Raw genomic sequence first — 24,759 nt, 5'->3', positions numbered from 1 at the left:
CTGTAATTAGCAGATGCAGTTTTGAAATGGGCATAAAGTTGGGGCTTGCTACTGTAAATACTCCTTGATTTCTTCCTAAGTGAATTGTTTCTTTATATTGCTTGTTAGACACCACTCCCATTTCTTCCATCTCAAGTATAGAAAGCAAGCCCCTGAGAGTGACCATGAGGCGGCGAGGGAATGCATCCTAGGTGAGGGCTTAGCAAGGCAAAGGCAGGCTCTGTTGCTGTTACCCTGGGCTTTTCAAAGGTGAATGAAATCCCACAAATCTTGGTCATTAGTTAAGGGAAATGGAGACCCAAAGGCAGAAACCGATGCCCATGGTCAGGCTAAAGAGCCGTGGGGAGAGTCGAAGTCTGCCGCTCAACCTGAGCAGTGGCTCACTCCCCCGGGGTGACTCACCATGGAGACACCCGCCTCCCCATCCTCCATCCCTCTCTTGTGCCCCTCTCTTCTCGATTAGTTCTGCCAGCTCTATGCTTGGTCATGAGTTCACTGAAGGTTTGGGATCCCTGCCCATCACTACACAGATGAGCTTCTAGGAGACGACCCCATGGCCCTGGGCCTAGGCTGATGAGCAAGACAACCAAGTCCCAGGGTTTCACCCTAGCCTTCTTCAAATGCTGAATCCTCTTGCAGTGGATACACCTGAGCTCGTTTTAATCAGGTGGCCCAGAAGGTGCAAAGAAAGACTCCTTTTCATTCCCAGAGGAGAGACTAGCAACTCTTCCAGAAATAATGAGGCCACTCAGGAGAAGGGAAAGAAAACAAAAGCTCACCTTTAAGATCCGATTTTGGTTCTTCTCCTTCACATAAGAAAACATGATCCTGCAACAAGGCAAACCACCAAATCAGGACTCACTCAGAAAATTTTACCCTCATTCAAATGGACAATGAAAATCAGGACCATATAACCTTTTAATTTACAAAAATGCTTGTATATCTGACCTCAGGACCCCCCCAATCCTCTACAGACTATTCTGAAACAAACCTGATATTTCATTTATCCATACATATTTCAAGATGTAGCTCTTAAAACATCCTTTAAAAAATAACAGTAGCACCCTCAAAACTGCGAATATTAATGATTCCTTAAATATCAAAGTCAATTTTTTTTTTTTTTTTGGAGACAAGAGTCTTGTTCAGTCATTCAGGCTAGAGTGCGGTGGCATGATCTTGGCTCACTGCAGCCTCTGCCTCCTGGGCTGAAGCGATCCTCACATCTCAGCCTCCCGAGTAGTGGGGACTACAGGCGTGAGCCACCACACCTGGCTAATTTTTCTATTTTTTGTAGAGACAGGGTTTTGCCACGTTGCCCAGCTCATCTCAAACTCCTGGACTCAAGTGATCTGCGTGCCTCAGCCTCCCAAAGTGCTGGGATTATAGGCGTGAGCCACTGTGCCCAGCCTCAAAGTCAAATTTTTAAATACTGGCATAATATTTCATCCATGCTGTAATATTTCATCCATAATAATTTCATCCATGCTGTAGCGTGTGTCAATGCTCCATTCCTTTCTATGGCTGAGTAATATTCCATTGTATGGACAGACCACATGTTGTTTACCCATTCATCTGTTGATGGACAAATGAGTCATTCCCGCCCTTGGGCTACTGTGAATAATCCTGGTGCAAGGATCTAGTGTTTGACTCCTTGTTTTCAAATCTTGTGAGTACGTACTTAAGAGTGGAATTATTCGGTCATATGGTAATCCTGTTTAACTCTGAGGAACTGGCAGTATCCACAGCCACTGCACCATCTTCCAATCCCACTAGCAATGCACGAGGGCTCCAGTTTCTCTGCATCCTCACCAACTCGTATTTTCCATTTTTACATCACACCATCCGAACAGGCATGCACTGGCATCTCACGGGTTTCTGATGTGCATGTCCCCAGTTATTAATAACACTGACCATCTTTTCGGGTGGTTTTTGGCTGCTTGTATCTCTTCTTTGGAGAAATGTATATTCAAGTCCACTACCATTTTTGAATTGGGTTTGTTATTTCGTTGTTGAGTTGTAGGCATTCTTTATGTATTCTGGATAGTAACTCCTTATCAGAAATGATTTGCAAATATTTCCTCCCATTCTGCGAGTTATCTTTTCACTTTTTTTTTTTTTTGACACGGAGTCTCACTCTGTTGCCCAGGCTGGAGTGCAGTGGCGCAATCTCGGCTCACTGCGCCCTTTGCCTTCTGGGTTCAAGCAATTCTCTTGCCTCAGCCTCCAGAGTAGCTGGGAGTACAGGCGCCCAGCTACTTTTTTTGTATTTTTAGTAGAGACGGGGTTTCACCATGTTAGCCAGGATGGTCTTGATCTGACCTCGTGATCCGCCTGCCTCAGCCTCCCAAATTGCTGGGATTACAGGTGTGAGCCACTGTGCCCAGGCTTTTTTGTTTGTTTTTTGTTTTTTTGAGACAGAGTCTCATTCTGTCACTCAGGTTGGAGTGCAATGGCGCAGTCTCAACTCATTGCAACCTCAGCCTCCCAGGTTCAGTTGATTCTTCTGCCTCAGTCTTCCGAGTACCTGGGATTACAGGCATCCACCATCATGCCCGGCTAGTTTTCGTATTTTTAGTAGACATGGGGTTTCACCATGTTGGCTAGGCTGGTCTCGAACTCTTGACCTCAGGTGATCTGCCCACCTCGGCCTCCCAAAGTGATGGGATTACAGGTGTTAGCCACTGTGCCTGGCCTGTTTTCATTCTTTATAGTGTCCTTTGATGCACAGAAGTTTATAACTTTAATGAAGACCTATTTATTTACTTATTTTTTCAGACAGTCTTGCTTGTTGCCCATGCTGGAGTGCAGTTGCATGATCTTAGCTCACTGCAACCTCTGCCTCCTGGGCTCAAGTGATCCTCCCAACTCAGCCTCCTGAACAGCTGGGACCACAGGTGTGCACCACCATGCCCGGGTAATTTTTTGTATTTTTGTGGAGAAGGGGTTTTGTCATGCTGCCCAGGCTGGTCTCAAAATCCTAGGCTCAAGCAATCTGCCTGCTTCAGCCTCCCAAAGTGCTGGGGTTATAGGCATGAGCCACTATGCCTAGGCTTTTTATAATTTTTTTGAGACAGGATCTCATTCTGTCACCCAGGCTGGAGTGCAAATGGCAAAATCACTGCTCTCTGCAGCCTTGAACAACTGGGCTCAAGCAATCTTCCCACCTCAGCCTCCCAGGTAACTAGGACCACAGGTGCACGCAACCATACGCAACTGATTTTTTTTTTTTTTTTTGGGACGGAGTTTCGCTCTTGTTGCCCAGGCTGGAGTGCAATAGCACGATCTCAGCTCACTGCAACCTCCACCTCCTGGGTTCAAGCGATTCTCCTGCCTCAGCCTCCCGAGTAGCTGAGATTACAAGCATGTGCCACCAGGCCCGGCTAATTTTATACTTTTAGTAGAGACGGGGTTTCTCCATGTTGGTCAGGCTGGTCTCGAACTCCCGGCCTCAGGTGATCCGCCTGCCTCGGCCTCCCAAGGTGCTGGGATTACAGGCATGAGCCACTGTACCCAGCCCCCAGCTAGTTAAAAAAAAGTTTTTTTAGAGTTGAGGTCTCTCTATGTTGTCCAGGCTGGTCTGGAACTCCTGGGCTCAAGTGATTCTCCCACCTTGGCCTTCCAAAGTACTGGGATTACAAGTGTGAGACACCATGCACGGCCCAATTTATTTTTAATTTTGTTGCCTCTGTTTTTGGTGTCATATCTAAACCTCCATTGCCAAATCCAGGGTCATGAAGATTTGTCCCTATATTTTCTTCTAAGAATTTTATAGTTTTTGCCCTTAACTTTAGGTCTTCGATCCATTTTGAGTTCATTCTTGTGTATGGTGTAAGAAAGAGTAAGCTTTTATCCTTCTGCATGTGCATATGCAATTGTACCAATGCCATTTGCTAAAGAGACTGTTCTTTCCCCACTGGATGATCTTGGCACCCTTGTGAAAAAAAAAAAAGCCCTTTGGAAGGCTTTATTTCTCAGTTCTCAACTTGACTCCACTGGTCAGTGTGTCTGTCTTCATGCCAGTGCCATGCTGTTTGGATTACCGTTGCTTTGCAGTAAGATTTGAGAGCAGGAAGTAAGAGCTCCAACATCTTTTTCAATTATTATTATTTTTGGATACTTGGGGTACCATGAAATTCCATATGAATTATAGGACTTTTTTCCCATTACAGAATAAAACACCATTAGGACTCTTATAGGGCTACATTCTTGTCTCTCTTTAATCCTCAGGACCTCCCTCTATTCTCGTCATGTTGTTTCCTATGTAAGCCATTGTTCTGAGCGCAGCTCTGTGGTGTTAATTAATATGTGGCTTGGTCTGATTTGAGCTTGATTTTTTTGACGAAACAGCGTCAATGGGGGCCCATGGTGGATTTCCATTCCCAGGCCCATAAGTGTTGGTTCTCTCTCATTTTGTGATGTTAACGGCCACTGATGAACATTTTCTCAGATCCACGATTTCAGTACAAGTTTATAAAACAGTGATATTCTAATTCCTTTATTCCTTCTTCACTTACATCCCAGAAACTTTTATAAAAGGGAACTTTCTTTCAACAGCTGCTATCCTAACACACACTTCATGCAGGAAATGCTGGCTAAATGCCCCCTTCTGTCATCTGCCCGCTTTCGCAGTGACGAGCCGGTCCTCCAGCATTCTCCCAAGGTCGTAAATTACATTACTTTTAGTATCAATAGGAAGCCGGGAATTCTGAACAGTTGGTGAATTTAAATCCACTGCAATTATTTCACTTTTTGATAATCAAATGGTCCCATCTCTGGCCCCATGGCTGCTCTTCACCTTGTTCCCCAAGTCCTCTGACACCACCCTAGCAGCCTGTAAGGGCTTCCTCATTTTCTGGCATTACGAGATATTCTACGCTTATTTTGTATATTCCCTGACCCTGACCTGGAATTAGTCATTTCTCTGGTGATGCTAGCGATGTCCAATGGTCCTGGACCAAAAGAACTTTATTAGAAAATCAAAGAAAGCTCTACTCTGTTTCCACTTGTTCTATGCCCAGTTGTACTGATGTCCTACAGTCCTCTACCTGATCTACGTTCACTGGAAAGTGTGAGTCTCAGCAGGAAGCACCTTGCTCTCGTGTCCGGCTAATTCGAGTGCTTTACGTAGTAGAGGAATTGCTGACTTTTGGGACATTTCTGGTCTTGCCAAAGTTCACCTTGTAGTAAAGCCCCCAAAGATACTTCCCAAATAGATGCTCTCTTGAAAATAACTCAGACAGCATGGCAGGGCACAGTGGCTCACATTTGTAATCCCAGCACTTTGGGAGGCTGAAGCGGGTGGATCACTGGAGGACAGGAGTTCAAGACCAGCCTGGCCAACATGGTGAAACCCTGTCTCTTCTAAAAATACAAAAATTAGCCGGACGTGGTGGTGCATGCATGTAACACTGGCTACTCGGGACGCTGAGGCAGAATTGCTTGAACCCAGGAGATAGTGGCTGCAGTGAGTTGAGATCGTGCCACTGCACTCCAGCCTGGGCAACAGAATGAGACTCTATTTCAAAGAAAAAACAAAATAAAACGAAAAAACACGACCAAACCTCAGCAGAGTCTAACAGGTCCTATATAAGACTCTATACACTGGAAAGAGATGTCGCTGCAGAGATGCCAGCACAAGAGAGATGTAGGGCAATCCAAACCAGGCTGGCCGCGATCAATGCCCTCATCCACTCATGTCCTCTCCTTTCTGTCTACATTTCCATTTTAATTCTGCAATGGGCCATCTTCCAGCATATAAACCAATAAACATGCAGCAGTTTTCTAGGCGTTAAGTAACTCCAGAAATGGTTAAGAATTTTCCACTTTAAGGAACCAGACCATATCTTTTAACCACAAAAAAGGTAGAAAAGTGAATAGATGAAAAAATATCGCTAATTATGTTAGTAATAAATCCTGGTCTTTCTTACTGATGAACGGTGGCTGCAGTAAACCCTAGAAATGTTCTGCCACCATTCAAACAAATGTCCAAGCTAGGGTAGTGCAGGCTCTGGTCCTCACGAAAGCCGAGACTGGCCTTAGGCAAGCCCTCCACCATAGCCCAGGGAGGCTGCAGCTCTGATCAATCCCTGCTAAGGCCATGCCCGAGGTCGCATCGTGTAGGCATTCCTCTCCTTTCCAGGCCACTTGTCTTATCCTACTGATGCCATTACTGGGTCAGAGGCGTCAGCTACGCTTCAGTCAAGTGCTGACAATCTCCACAGGTAACCAGCCGAGGACCTTGACTGTGCGGGGAAAAGCCCATCAGAAAAGAACTGTCACTTTTCCTCTGCAAGGTGAAACAGGAAGAGTGGAAGACGGACAAGGGCCCAGCTCGTCTGCGGCACGTTCCGCTCCCCACCGCTTCTCCGCGCCCCGCAGCACTGCAGTGAGGAGCCGCCACAGCCCGTCTGCAGTGGGCGTCCGCCACCAGCACAGAAGAGCTTCCCCCACGGCTTCAGTCAGCACAAGGCTGGACTGTTTCCTGGGTGACTCAGGGGAACTTCCAAACTCGATGACTAATGCTTGCATCCAGGATAATCTACGGCACCCACCATGATTCTCCCTAAAAACATGTCGCATCTGCCTTGGAGCCTTTTTGGAAAGAGCACCTGGCATACCCGCTGCTGCGCTGTCACGTCTGAATGCAGTCCATACCTTGGGTTTGTTTGGGTGTGCCAAGCGTGAAGTGGCAGTGACCGGAGACCCAAAAATGTCGCTGGTCTTCCCTCCAGGTGGGTTCAGGTGCTGTCGAGTCTGCACGGGGGTTGATTCGTCAAAGATACCACTTCCTTTACCCCCTGCAGAAACGATCACAGAACACTGAGCAACCAGACGTCCACCGGACCCCACCCCACCCCACCCCCGCAGTGCTTTGGAGACCTCCTCTCATAGGAACCCCGAGTGCCAGCCCTGAGCTCCAGGCCAACAGGGCAGGATGCTCAGACTGAAACCCCTGAAGATCCATGAAACCCCTGAAAACCATGGCTGGATCAGGGGCCTGCCTGCAGCCCTTATGTCTAGAACTGAGCTGATCTAGGCTGGCCTCTAGAGGTGAGATGGCATCAAACTGCAGATTTTCCCTCTAGAATTTCTTTAACCCTGAACATTTCATGCTTTCCTGTTGAAGTGTCTGCTCACAAAACCCATGAAAAGTTCTTCAGTAGATTAAAAATAAACAGCTAAATGTTTAAGTCACACAGATAAGAGTTCTGAATTTAATAACATGCCCTATTCAAGGGAAACCTGCCATCCTGAAAATATTTATTAGTCATTCTTCTGACCTCATTCTGGCTGGTACTTCCAGTGACTAGATATGTCAGCAAATTAGACACATGTAACATCTTTGTTGCCAACTATAAGTGACTTGATAAGCCATAATGAAAATGTGCGTCTAAGAGGTAACTTCCTAGTAGCAGGTGACTAAAGGCTAGATGCTCAGCATAAATGCCCGTGCCTAACATTCCACAGAAAGATGGCTACCCTGTGGGACCAACTGATCATCTCTTCACTCAGCAGACACCAAGCACCCACTTTTGACAAAGTGCTATGCTAAATGGAGGTTGGTGTCATTAAAATCATGGCCCTGGTGCACCAAGAACTTATAATCTAAGAGGAAAGAAGATGCATTCTGCTAACTTGCTGTGTGATCCTATGGAAGTTACTTGGCCTTTCTGTGTCCCACAGTCCTCATCTGTAGAATGGGGATAATAAAAGAACTCCCTCACAGGACTGGAAGAAAGCTCAGTGAGTTACTGTAGCTCATATGTCAAATGCTTACAACAGTGTCTGGGATGGAAATAAACATGTCAACTCTATTTTCTATGCAATGATAAAGAGGTATCTATACATATCATCCAGTGAAAACACAAGGGTGCAAACAATCCATATAGCATGCAGTGTTTTCATGTAAAAGGGGAAGTGTTCTTATTTGCTTTTATCTGAAGAAAAGCAGTTACCTGTGGGGGATGCCTACACGTGTGAAGAAACAGGACTGGGGAAATGCAGGGGCTCCACACTGCTTAACATGGTCTCCTTTTTTTGTTTACAGAGTTTTGATCTTTTGCATTTTCTGTTCTCGAAAAATTACATTTTGTAAATTGATTTATTTAACTTAAAGAGAGTTTATTCATGTGTAATGCTTGAGTATAGCCCACCTGGAAACACCAACTCCAAAGGAATGGAGTCAGTGTTCTGAAGTAGGGACATTAGGGTTTCATTTATATAGGCAGAGACAGAGGAGCTTTTAGCAGGACTACAAACTTTTCTCACACAAGGTTAGTGTACAGTTACAGCAATTTGGTTACAGGAAAAAACCACATATTCAACAGTTAATTCCTAGTGTTAACAATCCACACTGCTCCACAGAAGCAACCGGATGAAGAGCCCACGTGTGCTTGCGTGGAGATGAGGCTCGGCTGGGGGTCTGTGCACCTGCTCGTCTTCAGACCCGCTTGAGGGCCCCACTGCTGCGGCGGGGCCTAAAGCAGGGTGGCTTTCTGGGACACCAGTTCTAGGGGCCCAGAGTGCAGCGACAAGGAGGACTATAACAGAGCACAGCAAGTGGGGGGTCGGGCGGGCGTGTCTACCTTTTGCAGGTGGTAACAGAACACCTGGGGATATGCGGGACTCGCCCTGCAGAGAAATGTGTACATTTTTCACATGACTTCAGGGTGATAAACCTTCTGAACCTCAGCCATGGACCTCCCAGGGACCCACAGTCCCCAAGCTTGACACCCCTGGCCAGGGAGAGCAGCACAGCACGGTGGGGAGAGTGTCCTGTGGCCAGACTGCCTGGGTCAGGGAGTCTCTGCTCAGCTGCTCACTAACTGTGAGACCTTGGACAAGTTATGTCAACCTTCCTTCATATCCATCTTCTTAACTTTAAAAAGGTAACAAACAGTCCAAGTGCACTGGCTCACACCTGTAATCTTAGCACGGTGGGAGGCCAAGGTGGGAGGACTGCTTGAGTCCAGGAGTTCAATACTAGCGTGGGAAACAAGTGAGACCTTGTCTCTACAAAAATATTTTAAAATTAGCCTCTGGTCCCGCTCCTCAGAAGGTTGAGGTGAGAGGACTGCCTGAGCTCAGAAGTTGGAGGCGGTGAGCTGTGATGGTGCCACTGCACTGTAGCCTGGGTGACAGACTAAGATCCTGTCTCAAAAAACCAACAAAACAAAAAAAAGGTAATAAATAATCATACCTACCTAGGGTCACTGGTGAGGCTAAACAAGTTAACTCAGGTGACGTGGTTAGAATAGTCCTGGCCTGCTGAGTAAGCCCTCAGCAATGCTGCAGGGCTGTGTCAACAAGCACGTCAGGACCACGGGGCGGATAAAACTGTGTGTGCAACCCCCAGCCCCCACTGCAATGTTCCTGGCTGTGCTATAACGGCTGACTTTTTTTTTTTTTAATGTGACTCCAGCTTTTTAAAATAGAAGATAAAAGTAACTCAATTTGAAGTTTTTGGCCAAAGACATCACTCATTTTTAAAAAATAGTTAAACTGTGAAACATAACAGAAAAGTCTGTAAGACATTAACTATCACAAATAACTACAAGGCAGACACCAGGTAACCACTGCCAAAGTCATCGAGAACAGTGCCCGTTCCCAGAAACTCCTGTGTTCCTTCACTCTCACCCAAGGTTACCACACTCCTGAATTTTTTGGAAACCACAAACATTTTTACCACGTATACGTGCAATAGGTACTAAACAATGTACCTCTGCTTTTAACCTTCATAACTAGGTAGTCATACCACATATGTCTATTACCATTTTACTTGAAAAATAAATTCAGCTTTGAAGCAAGAAAACATGCTTAAATTCACTAATAATTGAAGATAAACTCGAGAGATGTTTTTTCCTCCTGCTAGATTTTTGATTTCCAAGGGCTCTGTGTTATTTTGTTTTTAAAAATATCATTTATTTATTTGGGAGATTGGGCCTCGCTATGTTGCCCAAGCCAGTTTCAAACTCCTGGGCTCAGGCAATCCTCCCACCTCGGCCTCCCAAAATGCTGGGATTACAGGCGTGAGCCACCGCACCTGGCCTACAAGATTTGTTTTTAAAAGCAAAACTAAAAGATAAATACTGCTGGTGCAAATAAGCACATACACAAGAATGGTAAACACCAGGCAATGCCCTGAAAAACCGGTTGGAACTATCTATCCATATTTTAAACTCATATATCATCTGATCTACCAATTCCATTTTGAGAAATTTATCCCAGTGGATACATTCAGGAAGTCAGTTTAAGGCATGGAATCTGGAGTCAGAAAAACCTCAATTCAAAGGCTAGCTCTGCCACCGACTAGCACTGCTACCGGCTAGGTCTGCTACCGACTAGCTCTGCTACGGACTAGTTCTGCTACCGACTAGCTCTGCTACTGACTAGCTTGGGATTTATGCATGCCAGTGACCTTTTCCAAGCCTGTTTCCTCCTCTGTGAAAGGAGCAAAACAACCTACTCCTAGTTATAGCGAACACCAAATGAAAAATACACATGCAAAGCACTTAGCACAGTCCCCGGTAAATATTAACAATTCATAGACGTTGGTCATCATTGCTAGAAGAGGAAGAACAATTCATGGAACATCTAAACCAGGTGACTAACAAAGAACACAGAGACTACTGAAGATTCACTGAAACACTGAATGGGAATTGATAAACATTCGATGGCTATGATGTGGTCGGTCACACACACTCTCGGCCTCTGCATACTTTTCTCAATCAAGCCCTGCAACTAGAGGGCTGTGGGGCTAGGTCTGTGTGACTAAGTGTAGAAAGAAGGCAGGACTCCAGATCTCGTTGGGTGGTGAACACAACTAGCAGTTTCCCTTTCAGGCTTCCCTTGATAATATACCATAAACCGTCTTCCAAGAGCACTGGAGAGATAGGAAAACTCCCAACAACCGTGAGAAGGACCATGAGAAGCAGGAACCTGGCATGGGGAGCCATGATGGCTGGCACCACACACTGTGACCAGGAGTAGAGGCTGGCTCACTAACCGCAAGGGGCCGGGCTCCCCACTGGGCATGAGACCATGTGGAACGGGCAAAGTGGTACCGCCTGCCTTCCATGGAGTGCTCTAGGAACAGCTCCAGACATGACTCTGCTGAGTAGGGGCCAAATGAGCAGATTCATACACCTGGAAATGGCTCAGATAGGATTCTATCTTGCATGCGATATATTATTCTGCTATCCTTGCTAAAAAGGACATGCAGGAGTCCCTGGGCCTAAATTCATAAACCGGAAACAACGAGAATGTTAGTCACTTAATAAGAAACACTCATTTCTCTAACAACCAAAAAAGCAACCAAACAGACCAAAAAAAGGCAAGCAGCAAACCTAGCTTCGGCCGGGCACAAGGGTGCATGTCTGTAATCTCAGCAATTTGAGAGGCCGAGGTGGGCAGATGGCTTGAGCCCAGGAGTTCGAGACCAGCCTAGGCAACATGGTTAAACCCTGTCTCCACAAAAAATACAAAAAAAAATTACCTAAGCATGGTGGCATACGCCCGTAGTCCCAGCCACTCAGGAGGCTGAGGAAAAAGGGTCACCTGAGCCTGGGAAGTCAAGGCTGCAGTGAGTCATGGTGGTGACACTGCACTCCAGCCTGGGCGACAGAGTGAGACCCCGTCTCAAAACAGACTAAAAACAAAAGAAAAAACTAGTTTCTGGATCTACTGCTTTTTTTCCTCTACATTTGGTCAATAAATATTGGTACCCCAAAACGGAGTGAGGTCGGGAGTGGATCTGGCTCTGATTCATGACCTGCCTGACACAGTGACACCTAAGCACGGCCTCTCAAACCTTCTAAGGATGGAAGAGACCATGCTTTCCCCTCTTGTACAGACGGGGGAAAGCGACTCAGGTAACCTCCACTGGGTGGTTATTCAACTGGACAGTCTATCAGCCAAGAGAAACCTTTTTCTATTTTTTTTTTTTTTTCTTTTTGAGATGGAGTCTAGCTGTCACCCAGGCTGGAGTGCAGTGGCATGAATTTGGCTCACTGCCACCTCCACCTCCCGGGTTCAAGTGATTCTCCTGCCTCAGCCTCCTGAGTAGCTGGGATTATAGGCGTGCACCACCACACCCAGCTAATTTTTGTATTTTTAGTACAGATGGAGTTTTGCCATGTCGGCCAGGCTGGTCTCAAACTCTTGACCTCATGATCACCTGCCTTGGCCTCCCAAAGTGCTAGGATTACAGGCATGAGCCACCACGCCCGGCTGAGAAACCTTTTTCTTTTTCTTTTTCTTTTTTTTTTTGAGACGGAGTCTCGCTCTGTCACCCAGGCTAGAATGCAGTGGTGCGATCCCGGCTCACTGCAAGCTCCGCCTCCTGGGTTCATGCCATTCTCCTGCCTCAGCCTCCTGAGTAGCTGGGACTACAGGTGCCCGCCACCACGCCCGGCTAATTTTTTTTCTTTTTTAGTAGAGATGGGGTTTCACTGTGTTAGCCAGGATGGTCTCGATCTCCTGACCTCGTGATCTGCACACCTTGGCCTCCCAAAGTGCTGGGATTACAGGCATGAGCCACCGCGCCTGGCCAAGAAACCTTTTTCAAAGAGTCCCTCCTACTGTAACCACTAGGAGGTTGGGTAAATACTGAAGAACTATGTAGATGTGTGCTAGATCAATTCTTCCTTGTTAAGAGTTTCAATCCCACTGACGATCTGAATAAAAACACTCTCCCTCCCTAGGAAAAATGTTTAAATGCACAATAATTTGCACGCAATTTCAGGAATCTCATGGGGGTCCGTGGAACAATTGGGAGCAGCTCCCTGGCAGGAACCAGAAGCCCCCGTCCACTTTTGTGTCCTCAGTGCCTGTATTCAACCAAAGTCTCCAGAACAGATGGAGAATTCAAGACTACTCAAGTCACCTTCAAGAGAGAAAGTACAAATCAGAACGTTTTCATTTTGGAAGAACTCTGATAACAAGTGATTACCTGAACCAGACAATATGGGAAAGGATCAGTATAAAGAAACAGAAAATATTTTCAAAAGAGAATCGTGGAGGCCAAAGGATTAAGGATTTCCAAAGGCCCATACCTGGGGGATTTGTCCTCTTGGGTATGTTCTGAGGTTCTTCTGTTGGTCCAAAAATATTAGATGCCATCCTATTAGGCCTGCTGGAAGGAGTAGCTTCTTCTGGACTTCCAAAAAGATTGCTCGATTCTCCTCCTGGGGGCTTCATGGCCCTACAAGCACAGAGTACATGCCAATTACTGATGGCAGACCTGAAAGCTTGTCACTGTGCAAGGATTTTGGCACAACTAGACAGGGTAAAAGTATTTTGTTTTTTTCTTTTTGAGACAAGGTCTCATTCTGTCACCCAGGCTGGAGCGCAGTGACGTGATTTTGGCTCACTGCAACCTCTGCCTCCTGGGCTCAAGTGATCCTCCCACCTCAGCCTCCTGAGTAGCTGGGATTACAGGCACCCACCACCACAGCTGGCTAATTTTTTGTATTTTTGGTAGAGACAGGGTTTTGCCATGTTGCCAAAGTTGGTCTTGAACCCCTAAGCTCAAGTGATCTGCCCACCTTGGCGTCCCAAAGTGCTGTGATTACAGGTATGAGCCACCATACCCAGCAAAAGTATTTTCTTAACATCTACTGAGAAATCACATACCACCATTAGTTAATACTGGTATGACTAGTTTACAGACGCCAGACTACTTCTGCTGCTCTTTAGTTTCCCTTAAAAGTATTCTTTTTTTTTTTTTTTTGAGATGGAGTCTCGCTCTGTCGCCCAGGCTGGAGTGCAGTGGCACGATCTCAGCTCACTGCAACCTCTGCCTCCTGGGTTCAAGTGATTCTCCAGCCTCAGTCTCCTGAGTAGCTCAGATTACAGGTGCCTGCCACAACACCTGGCTAACTTTTGTTTGTTTTTTTTGAGACGGAGTTTTACTCTTGTTGCCCAGGCTGGAGGAATGCAATGGCGCAATCTCAGCTCACCACAACCTCCGCCTCCTGGGTTCAAGCAATTCTTCTGCCTCAGCCTCCCACGTAGCTAGGATTACAGGTATGCGCCACCACACCCAGCTAATTTTGTATTTTTAGTAGAGACGGGGTTTCGCCATGTTGGTCAGGTTGGTCTCGAACTCCTGACCTGGGGTGATCCACCTGCCTCGGCCTCCCAAAGTGCTGGGATTACAGGTGTGGGCCATCGCACCTGGCTCTTGAATCACTTTTTATTGTAAAAACTTAAACTTAAGAACTAATAAGGAATTGCCACAAAGCTCTATTTCTAGAGCACTATCTACATTAAAAACCGGTGAAACGCTGAATTCATAACAACTGGAAAAACTTTTAAATGCATTTGAGAGAGAGGCTTACTGAAATTGAGATTTAAACCAGTGAGTGGCACATGCTCTCTCACTAGTCCTAAGCAATGGGACTGTCTGTGATCCCAGACGTTTAGAAACGAAGTCAGCCCTCTGTATCCACGGGCTCTGCTTCCATGGATTCAACCAACCTCAGATCAAAATGTCAGAAATAAAAGGATGGTTGCATCTGTACTGAACATCTACAGACTTCTTTTCTGTCATTATTCCCCAGGTGATACGGTGTAACAACTATGTGCATAGTATTAGGTATTATATGTAACCTTGTAACCTAGAGATGATTTAAAAGCATATGGAGGATGTGCATAGGTTATATGCAAACATTACACCACTTTATATCAAGGACTTACACATCCTTGGATTTTGGCATCCTGGGGGTCCTGGAACCAACTCCCGCAGGATACCAAGGATGACCATACTTGAAATTACAGGGCTCAACATCACACAAAAACTATGATATGAGGTTAGATCTCACTGGAAAGCTTTGCAAACACTGACCACTCAAGGTTTGGTTAACAAAAATAACAGTTTCTCCTCAAAAGATCTAGAAAGAGCGCTGAGGGCTCCTTGTGACTGGATGTGAATGGAGTTCTCAGATCTCCTGCTATAAAGCAGGAAGGCAGAGAGTGCTTCAGTCTCCGCCTGCAGAGACCCACGGGCTGGCTACTGTACCCCAGAAACCAAGCGTGTGCTGGCCGACCTCTGAAGTGGTGCCCAGGGCCCCTGTCCACTCAGGAGGCTGGGGGAGGTGGATGCCAAACTTCCTGTCAGCAGTTGCCATTTCCTGGAGGATTTGAGGAGGGAGAAAAAAAAAGACAGGTGCACTTAAGAAAAATTATTTTTTAAAAATAACCAATAACCAAGCTTAAATGAGAAAGGGCTGTCCGGGAGCAGTACCTGGCACCTGTAATCCCAGCACCTTGGGAGGCCGAGGTGGGAGGACTGTTTGAGCCCAGGAGTTCGAGACACGCCTGGGCATATGGGGAGACCCTGTCTCTACAAAAAATACAAAAATAAGGCCAGGCGTGGTGGCTCACGCCTGTAATCCCAGCACCTTGGGAGGCCGAGGTGGGCGGATCACGAGGTCAGGAGATCGAGACCATCCTGGCTAACACGGTGAAATCCCGTCTCTACTAAAAATACAAAAAATTAGCCGGGCGTGGTGGCGGACGCCTGTAGTCCCAGCTACTCAGGAGGCTGGGGCAGGAGAATGGCGTGAACCCGGGAGGCGGAGCTTGCAGTGAACCAAGATGCGCCACTGCATTCCAGCCTGGGTGACAGAGCGAGATTCCGTCTCAAAAAAACAAACAAACAAACAAAAAATTAGCTGGGTGTGGTGGTATGCGCCTGTTGTCCCAGTTATTCGGGAGGCTAAGGCTGGCTTGAGCCCAGGAGGTCAAAGCTGCAGTGAACCATGATTGCATCACTGTACACCAGCCTGGACGAAAGAGTGAGGACTTGTTTCACCAAAAGGAAAAAAAATAAAGGGTGGTGGGTGGGAGGGCGTGGCTTAACAAGATTTTAGGTGAGGTGCTCTTAGAGTGGCCATAAGGCCATCTGACTTCCATATCCATTTTTGAATCACGCAGCCCTCCTAATTCTACATTTTTTTTTTTTTTTGAGACGAAATCTCGCTCTTGTTGCCCAGGCCAGAGTGCAATGGCACAATCTCGGCTCACTGCAATCTCCACCTCCTGGGTTCAGGCGATTCTCCTGCCTCAGGCTCCTGAGTAGCTGGGATTACAGATGCCCGCCACCATGCCCAGCTAATTTTTCTATTTTTAGTAGAGACGGGGTTTCACCATGTTGGCCAGGCTGGTCTTGAACTTCTGACCTCAGGTGATCCGCCCACCTCAGCCTCCCAAAGTGCTGGGATTACAGGCATGAGCCACTGTGTCCGGCCTATTTTATTTTTTTGAGATGGAGTCTCACTCTGTTACCAGGCTGGAATACAGTGACGCGATCTCAGCTCACCGCAACCTCCACCTCCCAGGTTCAAGCAATTCTCCCGCCTCAGCCTTCCGAGTAGCTGGGATTACAGGTGTGCGTCACCGTGCTTGGCTATTTTTTTGTATTTTTAGTACAGACGGGGTTTCACCACGTCGGCCAGGCTGGTCTCAAACTCCTGACCTCAAGTGATCCGCCCGCCTCGGCCTCCCAAAGTGCTGGGATTACAGGCGTGAGCCACTGTGCCCAGCCAATTCTGCGATTTTTCTTGGATAGTGTAGCAGGTCTAAACATGCACGGGTCTCTACAGTTCTCTCTTTGGAAATAAGGGATGAAGGCCTGCAATCTTTCGAACTGAACTGAATTTATCAAGTCTTATGTGAGCTGAGCATGAGCTATAATTCCTTTTACTGACTTATTTCAAATATGGCTTTTCTCTCAAGCCCTCAAGGTGCTACAAACTGTCAGATCTGATTCCAGGTAGACTCGCCTTGACTGCAAGCTCTGTAGGACTCTTTCCCGACCCCACATTCCCTACATTCACAGTCTCCTGTCTCCTCTGCCTTTCACCCTTGCTTCAGTTCAACTTGCACATCTCTCGAGCACCTATCATTGGCAATCCTTCCCCAGACGCCGTAGATAGAGGAAAGCAAGTCCTTACCCCGGAGGAGCTTCAAGTTTAAACAGGAAAGCTAGAGCTCTGCACAGGTGGTTTCAGTGTCTGTGTGAGTGACGTGACAGACGCCTAGTGCCATCGGGACTCCAAAATTTGGAAGAGGTGAAACCCAAATTGAGTCTGTGGCCTCCATGTGGAATGGGGACCAATGGGCGCAGGAGGTGAGTGGTAGTTACTTGCAATGACCAGTGTTACTTTGGGGTGATGGAAACACAATATTTAATATTGTTCTATGTGCTTTTCTGAATTTTATTTGAAAACAAGCAAAGAAAAAAAAGTGGTACCAAAGACGGTTTTAGCAGAAATTATGGCGCACACAGGCCCAGCCCCAGGCAAGGGGCAGCGGCTATCTCGGTCACAAAGGCAACAGGTCCCACTGCAGGTTTCACACAGACCGCAGGGCTGGGCTGCCTCAAAGGGGTCTCGGATGAATGGAACTGAGCGTTCAATAGACCTTTCAACAAAAACAGCCCGACAACAATGGCGCAGTGTGGCTTTCTCTAGGCTACAGGCACTTACCACTATGACACTAATAGGGGGAGGGGGAACGCTAGAGCTCACACATTTGGGGACAAATTCACAATGTGAGTGGGGGGTGCTTCCCAATTATTTTTTGCCTTTTGTGGTACCCCTTCCATATATTTCAGTGAAGATATTCAAAACACACAAGAGAAACTCAAGCGCACAGGAGAAGAAAAACCTCACACAGCTGGAGTGGACTGCAGCACTGGAGAGGTAGGGAAAAGCTGTGTGACCCTCCTCGGGGGTCTCCATGCTCCTGACCCTCTCTAATAGTTTGTCCCCGAGTTTCAGAAAGGATGAGGGGACTGGTCAGGCTTAGAGAGAAGCAGTGAGAAATAAACTTGGATTAAATTCCTTACAAATAGAAATGTTCCAGCTTGAAGGAAGACCTCAGGTTAATCGCGGCTAAAGCATAACGCTTTTACGAAACCCCTTTAACACAAGACAATCCCTCAGCAAGGAAAGGAGAGATGTGAGGTCTCAGGAGAGGAAAACCTGGCTAGGTAATCTTACAGCCACCACCTGACTCGCTTCACAGCAAAACTAAATGTGACGCTTACAAGGCGCCCGCCCTGCGACTCGACCCCGTTCAGATGAGTGGCAAATGTGCAGCGTCTGGTGGACCCCAAGCAGAAGCTTCCAGTGATACCTCATCATCCAGTTCAGACCGGCTTTCCTTCCTCACCATCCTAAAAGGAAGAGTTTTCTCCCTTTCTCAACACCTTGTCCAGAAACCAGTCCCCCAGGGTAGTGTGAGTATGACTTTAGTGCGGCCCTGTGCAGCTAACTTCTGGAGCGTGAAAGTCAATATAAAAACATCGGCGTCGCTCAGGGTGATAATAAACACCATCATTTACCGGGCAGCCAGTGCCAGGCAGCACAAACAAAAAGGAAACGTACTAAATGCACACAACTGGGACAGGGCTGGGGATGCAGTCCCTCCCCCCACTGATGTGGGTGGTGCAAAACTCTGGCCACCAGGAACCAGAAACCGGATTCGCTCTGAGCACTAGTTTAAACTCCTGGTCCCACATCGGTGCAGACCTAGGCATAATAATCACTGTTCCATGGATGAAGGGCTGTTTCTTTGAGACGGAGTCTTGCTCTGTCATCCAGGCTGGAGTGCAGTGGTGTGATCTCGGCTCACTGCAAGCTCCGCCTCCCGGGTTCACACCATTCTCCTGCCTCAGCCTCTCAAGGAACTGGGACTACAGGCACCCGCCACCCCACACCCGGCTAATTTTTTCGTATTTTTAGTAGAGACGGGGTTTCACCGTGTTGGCCAGGATGGTCTCGATCTCCTGATCTCGTGGTCCACCTGCCTCGGCCTCCCCAAGTGCCGGGATTACAGCCGTTGAGTCACTGCACCCTGCCACGGGTAATTATTTGGTTACAAGTATTACTGAATACTGACCTAACTCCCTCAAATCTAAAGGGTTTTTTTTTTTTTTGAGACGGAGTCTTGCTCTGTCGTACAGGCTGGAGTGCAGTGGCATTATCTTGGCTCGCTGCCACCTCTGCCTCTGGGTTCAAGTGATTCTCCTGTCTCAGCCTCTCCAAGTAGCTGGGACTACAGGCACACACCACCACGCCTGGCTAATTTTTGCATTTTTAGTAGAGACGGGGGTTTCACCATGTTGGCCAGGCTGGTCTCGAACTCTTGACCTCACGTGACTCGCCCACCTCAGCCTCCCAAAGTGCCGTGATTACAGGTGTGAGCCACCACGCCCGGCCAATCTAAAGGGTTTTTATTTTTAGCAAGTTGGAGCAATTCTTTTACTTAGTATTTATTCAATATAGTATTTGTCTTCACTTGATCATAGCCAAAAGGCTGAGAAGCAATATAGTATTGGTCTTAACAGTCATGGCACACATATTCTCTTCTACTTCTCTGGCGAGGCTGTGCCACAGAGGGGCTCATCATACAGAAAACCTCAGGCATCTGAAGACCCAAACTTCACAATGCAAGTTTACTGCTCAAGTGGCACGAAAGACCTTGTAAGCTCTGTCCCTCTAATTCATGCGAGTCCCAATACCCAAAGAGTGCTTTAAAAGTTCAAAAACATAAGAAAAGTGTGCTCAGTGTTCCTGGCTATTAAAGCTGAGTCAGGATATCTTCGTCCCAATCCACTTCTTCCTACAGCGAAGCCCAGGAGCGCCATCCACCTTCCCAGGAGATAGAACTGACTCTTCCCCAGACGCCCTGGCACTTTCCAAAGGAAGTGGACTCACATGAACTAGTGGAAGCGCGGCCATGGGCAGGGCACAGGCCACACACACACCAGGGACACGGGCACACGGCCACACGCACAGGAGCGGGGGCATGGCCAGACACCCCCCACGAACACATCGCCGCACACCCCTTAGGGACACCCCCCCGGGAACATGGACACGCATCCCACAGACAAAATGGGCCGCACCCACGGGCACACCCCGCCCCCAGGAAACCCCCCACGGAACGCACCACACGGAACGCGGGCGCCCAGGCGCGAGGGAGCGCAGCCCGCCCTCCACACAGCTTTGTTCCCAGAGCCCGGGCGCCCCTCCCCGCCCTCGGCCTCGGTCGCGGGCAGCTCTCCACAGCCCGGGCCTCAGCGAGCGGCCCCTCGGGCTTCGGGCCTCGGTCTGGCGGCGGCGCAGAAAGGCGGGCGGCGGCCCCGAGGGCCTCTGTGAGGTCGCCCTGCCCCCCAACCCCACCCCAACCCCACACGGCTGGTGGACGCCCTGGGCTGGCCCGCTCCCGCCACGTGGTCGCGCTATCCGCCCGCCTCCCGTGTGCCCCGCGCCGCACCTGGAGCCGGCGCGGCCGCCCTCGCTATCCGGGACCTGGAACATGTCGACCGCCGCCACCCTCAGCTCGCCGCGCGCCGTTCCCGCCCGCCCAGCGCAGGTACTCAAGGCCGCCCGCCAGCGCCCATTGGGCGCCAAGACGCCAATCATCCCTCCGCAGCCTATCTCAGCGCGGCCACCGCCCCTCACGCCCACCCCCGACGACTTAGGCTTTGAACGGTCGGCGCCGCGCCCGCAGCCGATTGGGGAAGGCGACGCCGCTCGCGGAGGTGGGAGCTCGCATTGGGCGGCGGGCCGGGCGGGCCCTGGGACGGCCGCGCCCTCGGGAGGAAGCCCGGTCTGCGGGAGCCCGCGAGCCGACCGCGGGGCCGCACCTGGGCCGCACCTGCCCGACCAGGGACTGCGGGCATGGGCGCGCGGCCCTGAAGAACAGGCACAAACGACAGTCCTTAGATCAACATTAGTATGTATTTATGCACAATAAAAACATTTACAAGTTGAACTGGAAATTTAAACAGAAGTTTAACAGCTCTTATTATATTAAATAACCAAAACACCTTTTATTCCCAAAATTGGTAAAGAATAAATAATATAATTTACAATATGGTACAAAAAATAACCAGGAAAGGCAGGCATTCTGCTTTATACATACACTGTATATGCATATTTATAATCTATAAAACAAATTCATATCTGAAACGAGCGGAGGCCTCGCTATGGCTTAACCGAGTAAGAGAGAGAAGGGGAGCGGGGCGCGGGAGGCAGGGCCAGGGGCTGGGCTCCCCACACCTCACCCACCCCAAGGACACGCAGCCACTGTGACATCAGGAGAGCGCTGACAGCCGCGAAGGGTGTGCTGTGGGTTTTTTTCCTTCGTTGTAAATTACTCTTTCCTTGCTTTCTTTTTTTAACTTGAGACCCAGTTTCGCTCTTCTTGCCCAGGCTGGAGTGCACTGGCGCGATCTCGACTCACTGCAACCTCCGCCGCTGAGGTTCAAGTGATTCTCCTACCTCAAGTCTCCTCAGTAGCTGGGATTATGGGCATGCGCCACCACGCCCGGCTAATTCTGTACTTTTAGTAGAGACAGGGTCTCTCCATGTTAGTCAGGGTGGTCTCATACTCCCCACCTCAGGTGATCCGCCCGCCTCGGCCTCCCAAAGTGCTGGGATTACAGGCGTGAGCCACTGCGCCCGGCCTCCTTCCTTGTTTTCTTAAGACAAAGTGCTGTATTTCCTGACAAATGCATCGGCTAGAGCTCAAGGTTTAAAGAGAAAACACAACTGTCTTCCTCCTCCCTCATTCCCGGTGTCTTATGCCCCACAACTTTCTTTGCAGAAGAAATTTTGAATTCAATGCTGTGATCTAATTAAAGATGCTATTAAACTAAAAAGGTTATCCACCAGAAATGAGGCCACGGCCTCTCATGCCCAGAACCTGGAGGTGCGGCAAAGCAAGGAGGCCAACCGCGGAAACGCCGCCAACACCCCACTCCCTGAGCTGGCACCCTACAGCTACAAGACACAGAAGGACAAAACAGCCAGGAAGCCACGAACTAGGCATCCCCCGAGGCACGCAATGCCCGCTTATCACTGCACATCCACAACAGAATTGAGGCCAGAGGACTAACTTCCCTGGACCACAGATGCTCTGTCCCAATCTCCAGAAAAGACGAATCAACAGAAAGATCCCAGGCAACGTCAGAGGGATTCAGGAAAGCTTTTTCTAAGAAACTGATCTCATCTTAATTACAGCATGCTCAAATGCACAAAGGAAGCCACAGGCTCATACTTAGACGATCACCGCTTCTGTTGGAAAGGCAGAAGATGCAGGAAGTCTCTGTTTGGATCTTTTGAAAATTCCAGCCTTTAACAGTTGCCTATGTTTGCACATAAATATTCATTTAGGCCAGAAGAAAATGTATCCATTGTTTTTCTGCAACAAATGACACCATTTTCCCTTAATGTGGCAAGCAAATGCGTATCACCTGTCTAGTTACTAGAGAAGCAGAATCCTCTAGAACTCTTGTCAGCTTTATTACAGGAGAGGAGTCAGCCCGTCCTCCTCCCTAACCCATCTCCCCACTGGATGGCAATGGCTGCAGTTGGCTGCTCCCAGGAGTCTACGCTGGAGAACCAAGTGGTAGGTGCTGTCTAAAGAGCCTACGAAAGCAGACTCTGACCTCCAAAACTTCACCCCACTGAGTTGTCAGGGGCTAACAGGTACCCTGACAGGCAGTTCACAAACCCTCCTGTCCCTGGCACAGTGCACACAGCTCAGTGCTGTTGGGACTTGGCATCTCTGGTCTAGCCTGTGGGAGTATGAGAAAGCTAGCAGTGGCCTGAACTCGGCCTGGTATCCTAACCCTCTAGAGACGCAGCAAAGCCAGATGCCCAGAGGGAGATCTCCTTGTCTTCTCTGGCTCAATGAGATGCTAATTTTGGAAGCTGGTATACGTAGCACAAAACACAAGCTAGTGTAAAGATGCTGTAGTTCAAACACTGCTGTCTCTCTCCTAATCAAGTGGCATGTTTCTTTTTTCACCCCTAAGAGGTTTGGGACTGTTTGCTTAAGATCTCATGTCAATGTCTGAAGGAGGGAAGCCAGCTCAGGCAAGAGCTCTAAGAAAAACTCGTGAGACAAAAGAAGGAAGCTCTTGCCTGGAAGTTCACTGTCCTCTCCACGTCCTCCCAGTGGTGCAGTACACGGCCTGCCTGTGGTCTACAGTGGCTGTGGTGGGCTGGCAAGACTGCAGGACGGAGGGCGTCCACATGCTTGTCCACACCAAAGGCCTTTCCCTCCTCTTTTCACCTTCTCCATTGTGGATGGGGAGAGAAGCAGTGGAGGGGCCAGGGCTGGCCTTGAGGGCTGCAGCGTGCCACACATGTGGGGGAAGAGGAATGGTGGGGAGGAGGGAGAGTAGGTCCAAGGGGGTTAGGAAAGCACAATCAATCCCGGCTGCTGCGGGGGATGAAATGAGGCAGGAAGGGAGAGATGGCGGCACAGGCATGGCCTGCCCAACACCTCTGTAGCAGCTCCAGGCCACACTGGATGTGGATGGACGGTGACTCATGTGCCTGGAACTCCTGAGGATGAGAAGGCAAAGGGGCCCTTGTTAGCTCTGTCCTGGGGAAAGACTGGATGTTGGGCCGTCTGCAGTAGGAACGCTGGCCACCCAAGAGGGCGCAAGGAGGGAGACCACCACGAAGGCATATATTTGGTGAGGTCTGACCACATCCAGATGTCTGGGCCCTCACCTGGGTGTCCCAAATGGGAAGGAGACACAGAAGTCTCAAGGCAAAGGTATGCAAGGGACTGAACACGTATGTCAGGCACGCCCACACCAATGCCCGTGAGAGACACTTTCCCTGCAAAGGCAGGTTTGTCTCAAGTGCCAAACAGTCACACATCGAGTTTGAGAACTTATCAGGAAAGTCTTCGCTGTAATCATATTAGCGCCTAAGGGTCACCCCAGGAGGGAGAAATGACACCTTAGATCGCCTGGAAGCTTGCAAAGGGACACAGGAAGGAAACCAACTACAGAGGGGACTTTGTTCTTCCTCTTCCATGTCTCCTAATTCTTAAAACACAAGAAAAACATTTTCAACCAGCTTAGCAGGGTCCCATGTAAAGTCCACACAACCTGCATAGTACAGGACTCTTCCTGCCCCCACTCCCTGTTAAGAGTACGAACAAAACCTCTAGGGAGGGGAGGCACCAGCCCAGGGCCCCACGACTCCGCAGCAGCCCTGTGATCGGTATCCATGCTCTTGCTGCCTTGGGATGTGACACCACCAGGCATGAGCCCAGGCCACACCCAACTGTCCTGCCCGTTACAGTCCACAGAGGGCACAGCTGATGCATAGCACAGGTTTGGCAGAAAGCAAGCAGCAGGGGCTGGGGCCTCCCTGCAGAGAGGGAGATCACAGCTCCTAGTGCACAGCAACTACACCAAGGCACACATACTCCCTTGTCTCAGAAGGAAATGCCACCGGAATGTCCAACACAACAATCGAGGCAGAGCACAGGCTGAAATGGGATCATTATGCAGACCCTAACATGGGCCCAGGCGTGGTGAAGAACGGCTCTAGTACCACAGTGATTTCTAACGCTGGCCCTTGCCAAGAACTCATCCTAGTCTCCTTGGACGCCGTTGCCTGCTGCTCGTGGGGAAGCAGCTCTGTGACCACGTTCCTGCCCGTTGCACAGTCTTGGGTGCGGAGATGCCTCTGTTCAGACCATCTTCTGGGGCTGCTGGGCTTATCTATTTTTCTCTAGCTCGAAGAGGGCTTCATCCGCCACCAGGACGTGTGGTCACTGGGACAGGTCACTGACAGCGGGGCCGCCTCCACCACCATCAAACAGAGCTTCTCGGCGGCCAGGCTCAGCGATGGACAGCTCTTGGGCCAGGTCATTGAACCGAGAAATGTAATCAATGCTGTTTTCGTTCATCATGCACACCAGCTGGGAATCCACAAC

General features: G+C 48.8%; 2 protein-coding genes across 7 annotated transcripts in view, besides 6 other annotated features; both read right to left on the bottom strand.

Annotated features, from left to right (window-relative positions):
- The window catches only part of JPT2 (Jupiter microtubule associated homolog 2), a 24,581-nt gene extending 4,220 nt beyond the window's left edge, over positions 1-20,361 (bottom strand). For 3 of the 6 annotated variants that reach the window (NM_001434668.1, NM_144570.3, NM_001434666.1), the window contains exons 1-4: positions 20,284-20,361; positions 13,053-13,201; positions 6,655-6,797; positions 780-828 (exon numbers count right to left, since the gene is read on the bottom strand). In NM_001434668.1, coding sequence (NP_001421597.1) covers positions 780-828; positions 6,655-6,797; positions 13,053-13,201; positions 20,284-20,327 — 385 coding nt within the window. In that variant the 5' untranslated portion in view covers positions 20,328-20,361. Of the gene's footprint in view, positions 1-779; positions 829-6,654; positions 6,798-13,052; positions 13,202-15,047; positions 15,132-18,141; positions 18,278-20,283 lie in introns of those variants that run through there. The other 3 variants (NM_001434665.1, NM_001434664.1, NM_001434667.1) reach the window with 2 other exon arrangements.
- Positions 6,258-6,552: an enhancer, noted in NCBI's record as "tiled region #11614; HepG2 Activating DNase matched - State 15:Elon, and K562 Activating non-DNase unmatched - State 17:Gen3'". NCBI's record gives its function as "activates a minimal TATA promoter and a strong SV40 promoter by Sharpr-MPRA in HepG2 and K562 cells {active_cell/tissue: HepG2 | K562}" and the evidence as "EXISTENCE:reporter gene assay evidence [ECO:0000049][PMID:27701403]".
- Positions 8,122-8,818: an enhancer, noted in NCBI's record as "H3K27ac-H3K4me1 hESC enhancer chr16:1739823-1740519 (GRCh37/hg19 assembly coordinates)". NCBI's record gives its function as "activates a minimal SCP1, AML or CMV promoter by ChIP-STARR-seq in primed H9 embryonic stem cells {active_cell/tissue: H9 hESC(primed)}" and the evidence as "EXISTENCE:reporter gene assay evidence [ECO:0000049][PMID:30033119]".
- Positions 19,869-20,504: an enhancer, noted in NCBI's record as "NANOG-H3K27ac-H3K4me1 hESC enhancer chr16:1728137-1728772 (GRCh37/hg19 assembly coordinates)". NCBI's record gives its function as "activates a minimal SCP1, AML or CMV promoter by ChIP-STARR-seq in naive H9 embryonic stem cells {active_cell/tissue: H9 hESC(naive)}" and the evidence as "EXISTENCE:reporter gene assay evidence [ECO:0000049][PMID:30033119]".
- Positions 19,869-20,734: a biological region, named in NCBI's record as "NANOG-H3K27ac-H3K4me1 hESC enhancer GRCh37_chr16:1728137-1728772".
- Positions 19,945-20,304: a silencer, noted in NCBI's record as "silent region_6996". NCBI's record gives its function as "represses an Ori minimal core promoter by ATAC-STARR-seq in GM12878 lymphoblastoid cells {active_cell/tissue: GM12878}" and the evidence as "EXISTENCE:reporter gene assay evidence [ECO:0000049][PMID:35858748]".
- Positions 20,335-20,734: a silencer, noted in NCBI's record as "silent region_6995". NCBI's record gives its function as "represses an Ori minimal core promoter by ATAC-STARR-seq in GM12878 lymphoblastoid cells {active_cell/tissue: GM12878}" and the evidence as "EXISTENCE:reporter gene assay evidence [ECO:0000049][PMID:35858748]".
- Positions 20,732-24,759, bottom strand: part of CRAMP1 (cramped chromatin regulator 1) — a 65,549-nt gene continuing 61,521 nt past the window's right edge. Inside the window, exon 21 of the mRNA NM_020825.4 lies at positions 20,732-24,759. Within this exon, the coding sequence (NP_065876.3) occupies positions 24,595-24,759 (165 nt within the window). The 3' untranslated portion in view covers positions 20,732-24,594.

This window comes from Homo sapiens, chromosome 16 (assembly GCF_000001405.40).
Source record: "Homo sapiens chromosome 16, GRCh38.p14 Primary Assembly".
In the NCBI taxonomy this organism is placed as follows: Eukaryota; Metazoa; Chordata; class Mammalia; order Primates; family Hominidae; genus Homo; species Homo sapiens.
The sequence above is the reverse complement of the archived record's forward strand: the minus strand, read 5'-3'. Positions and strand labels throughout refer to the sequence as shown.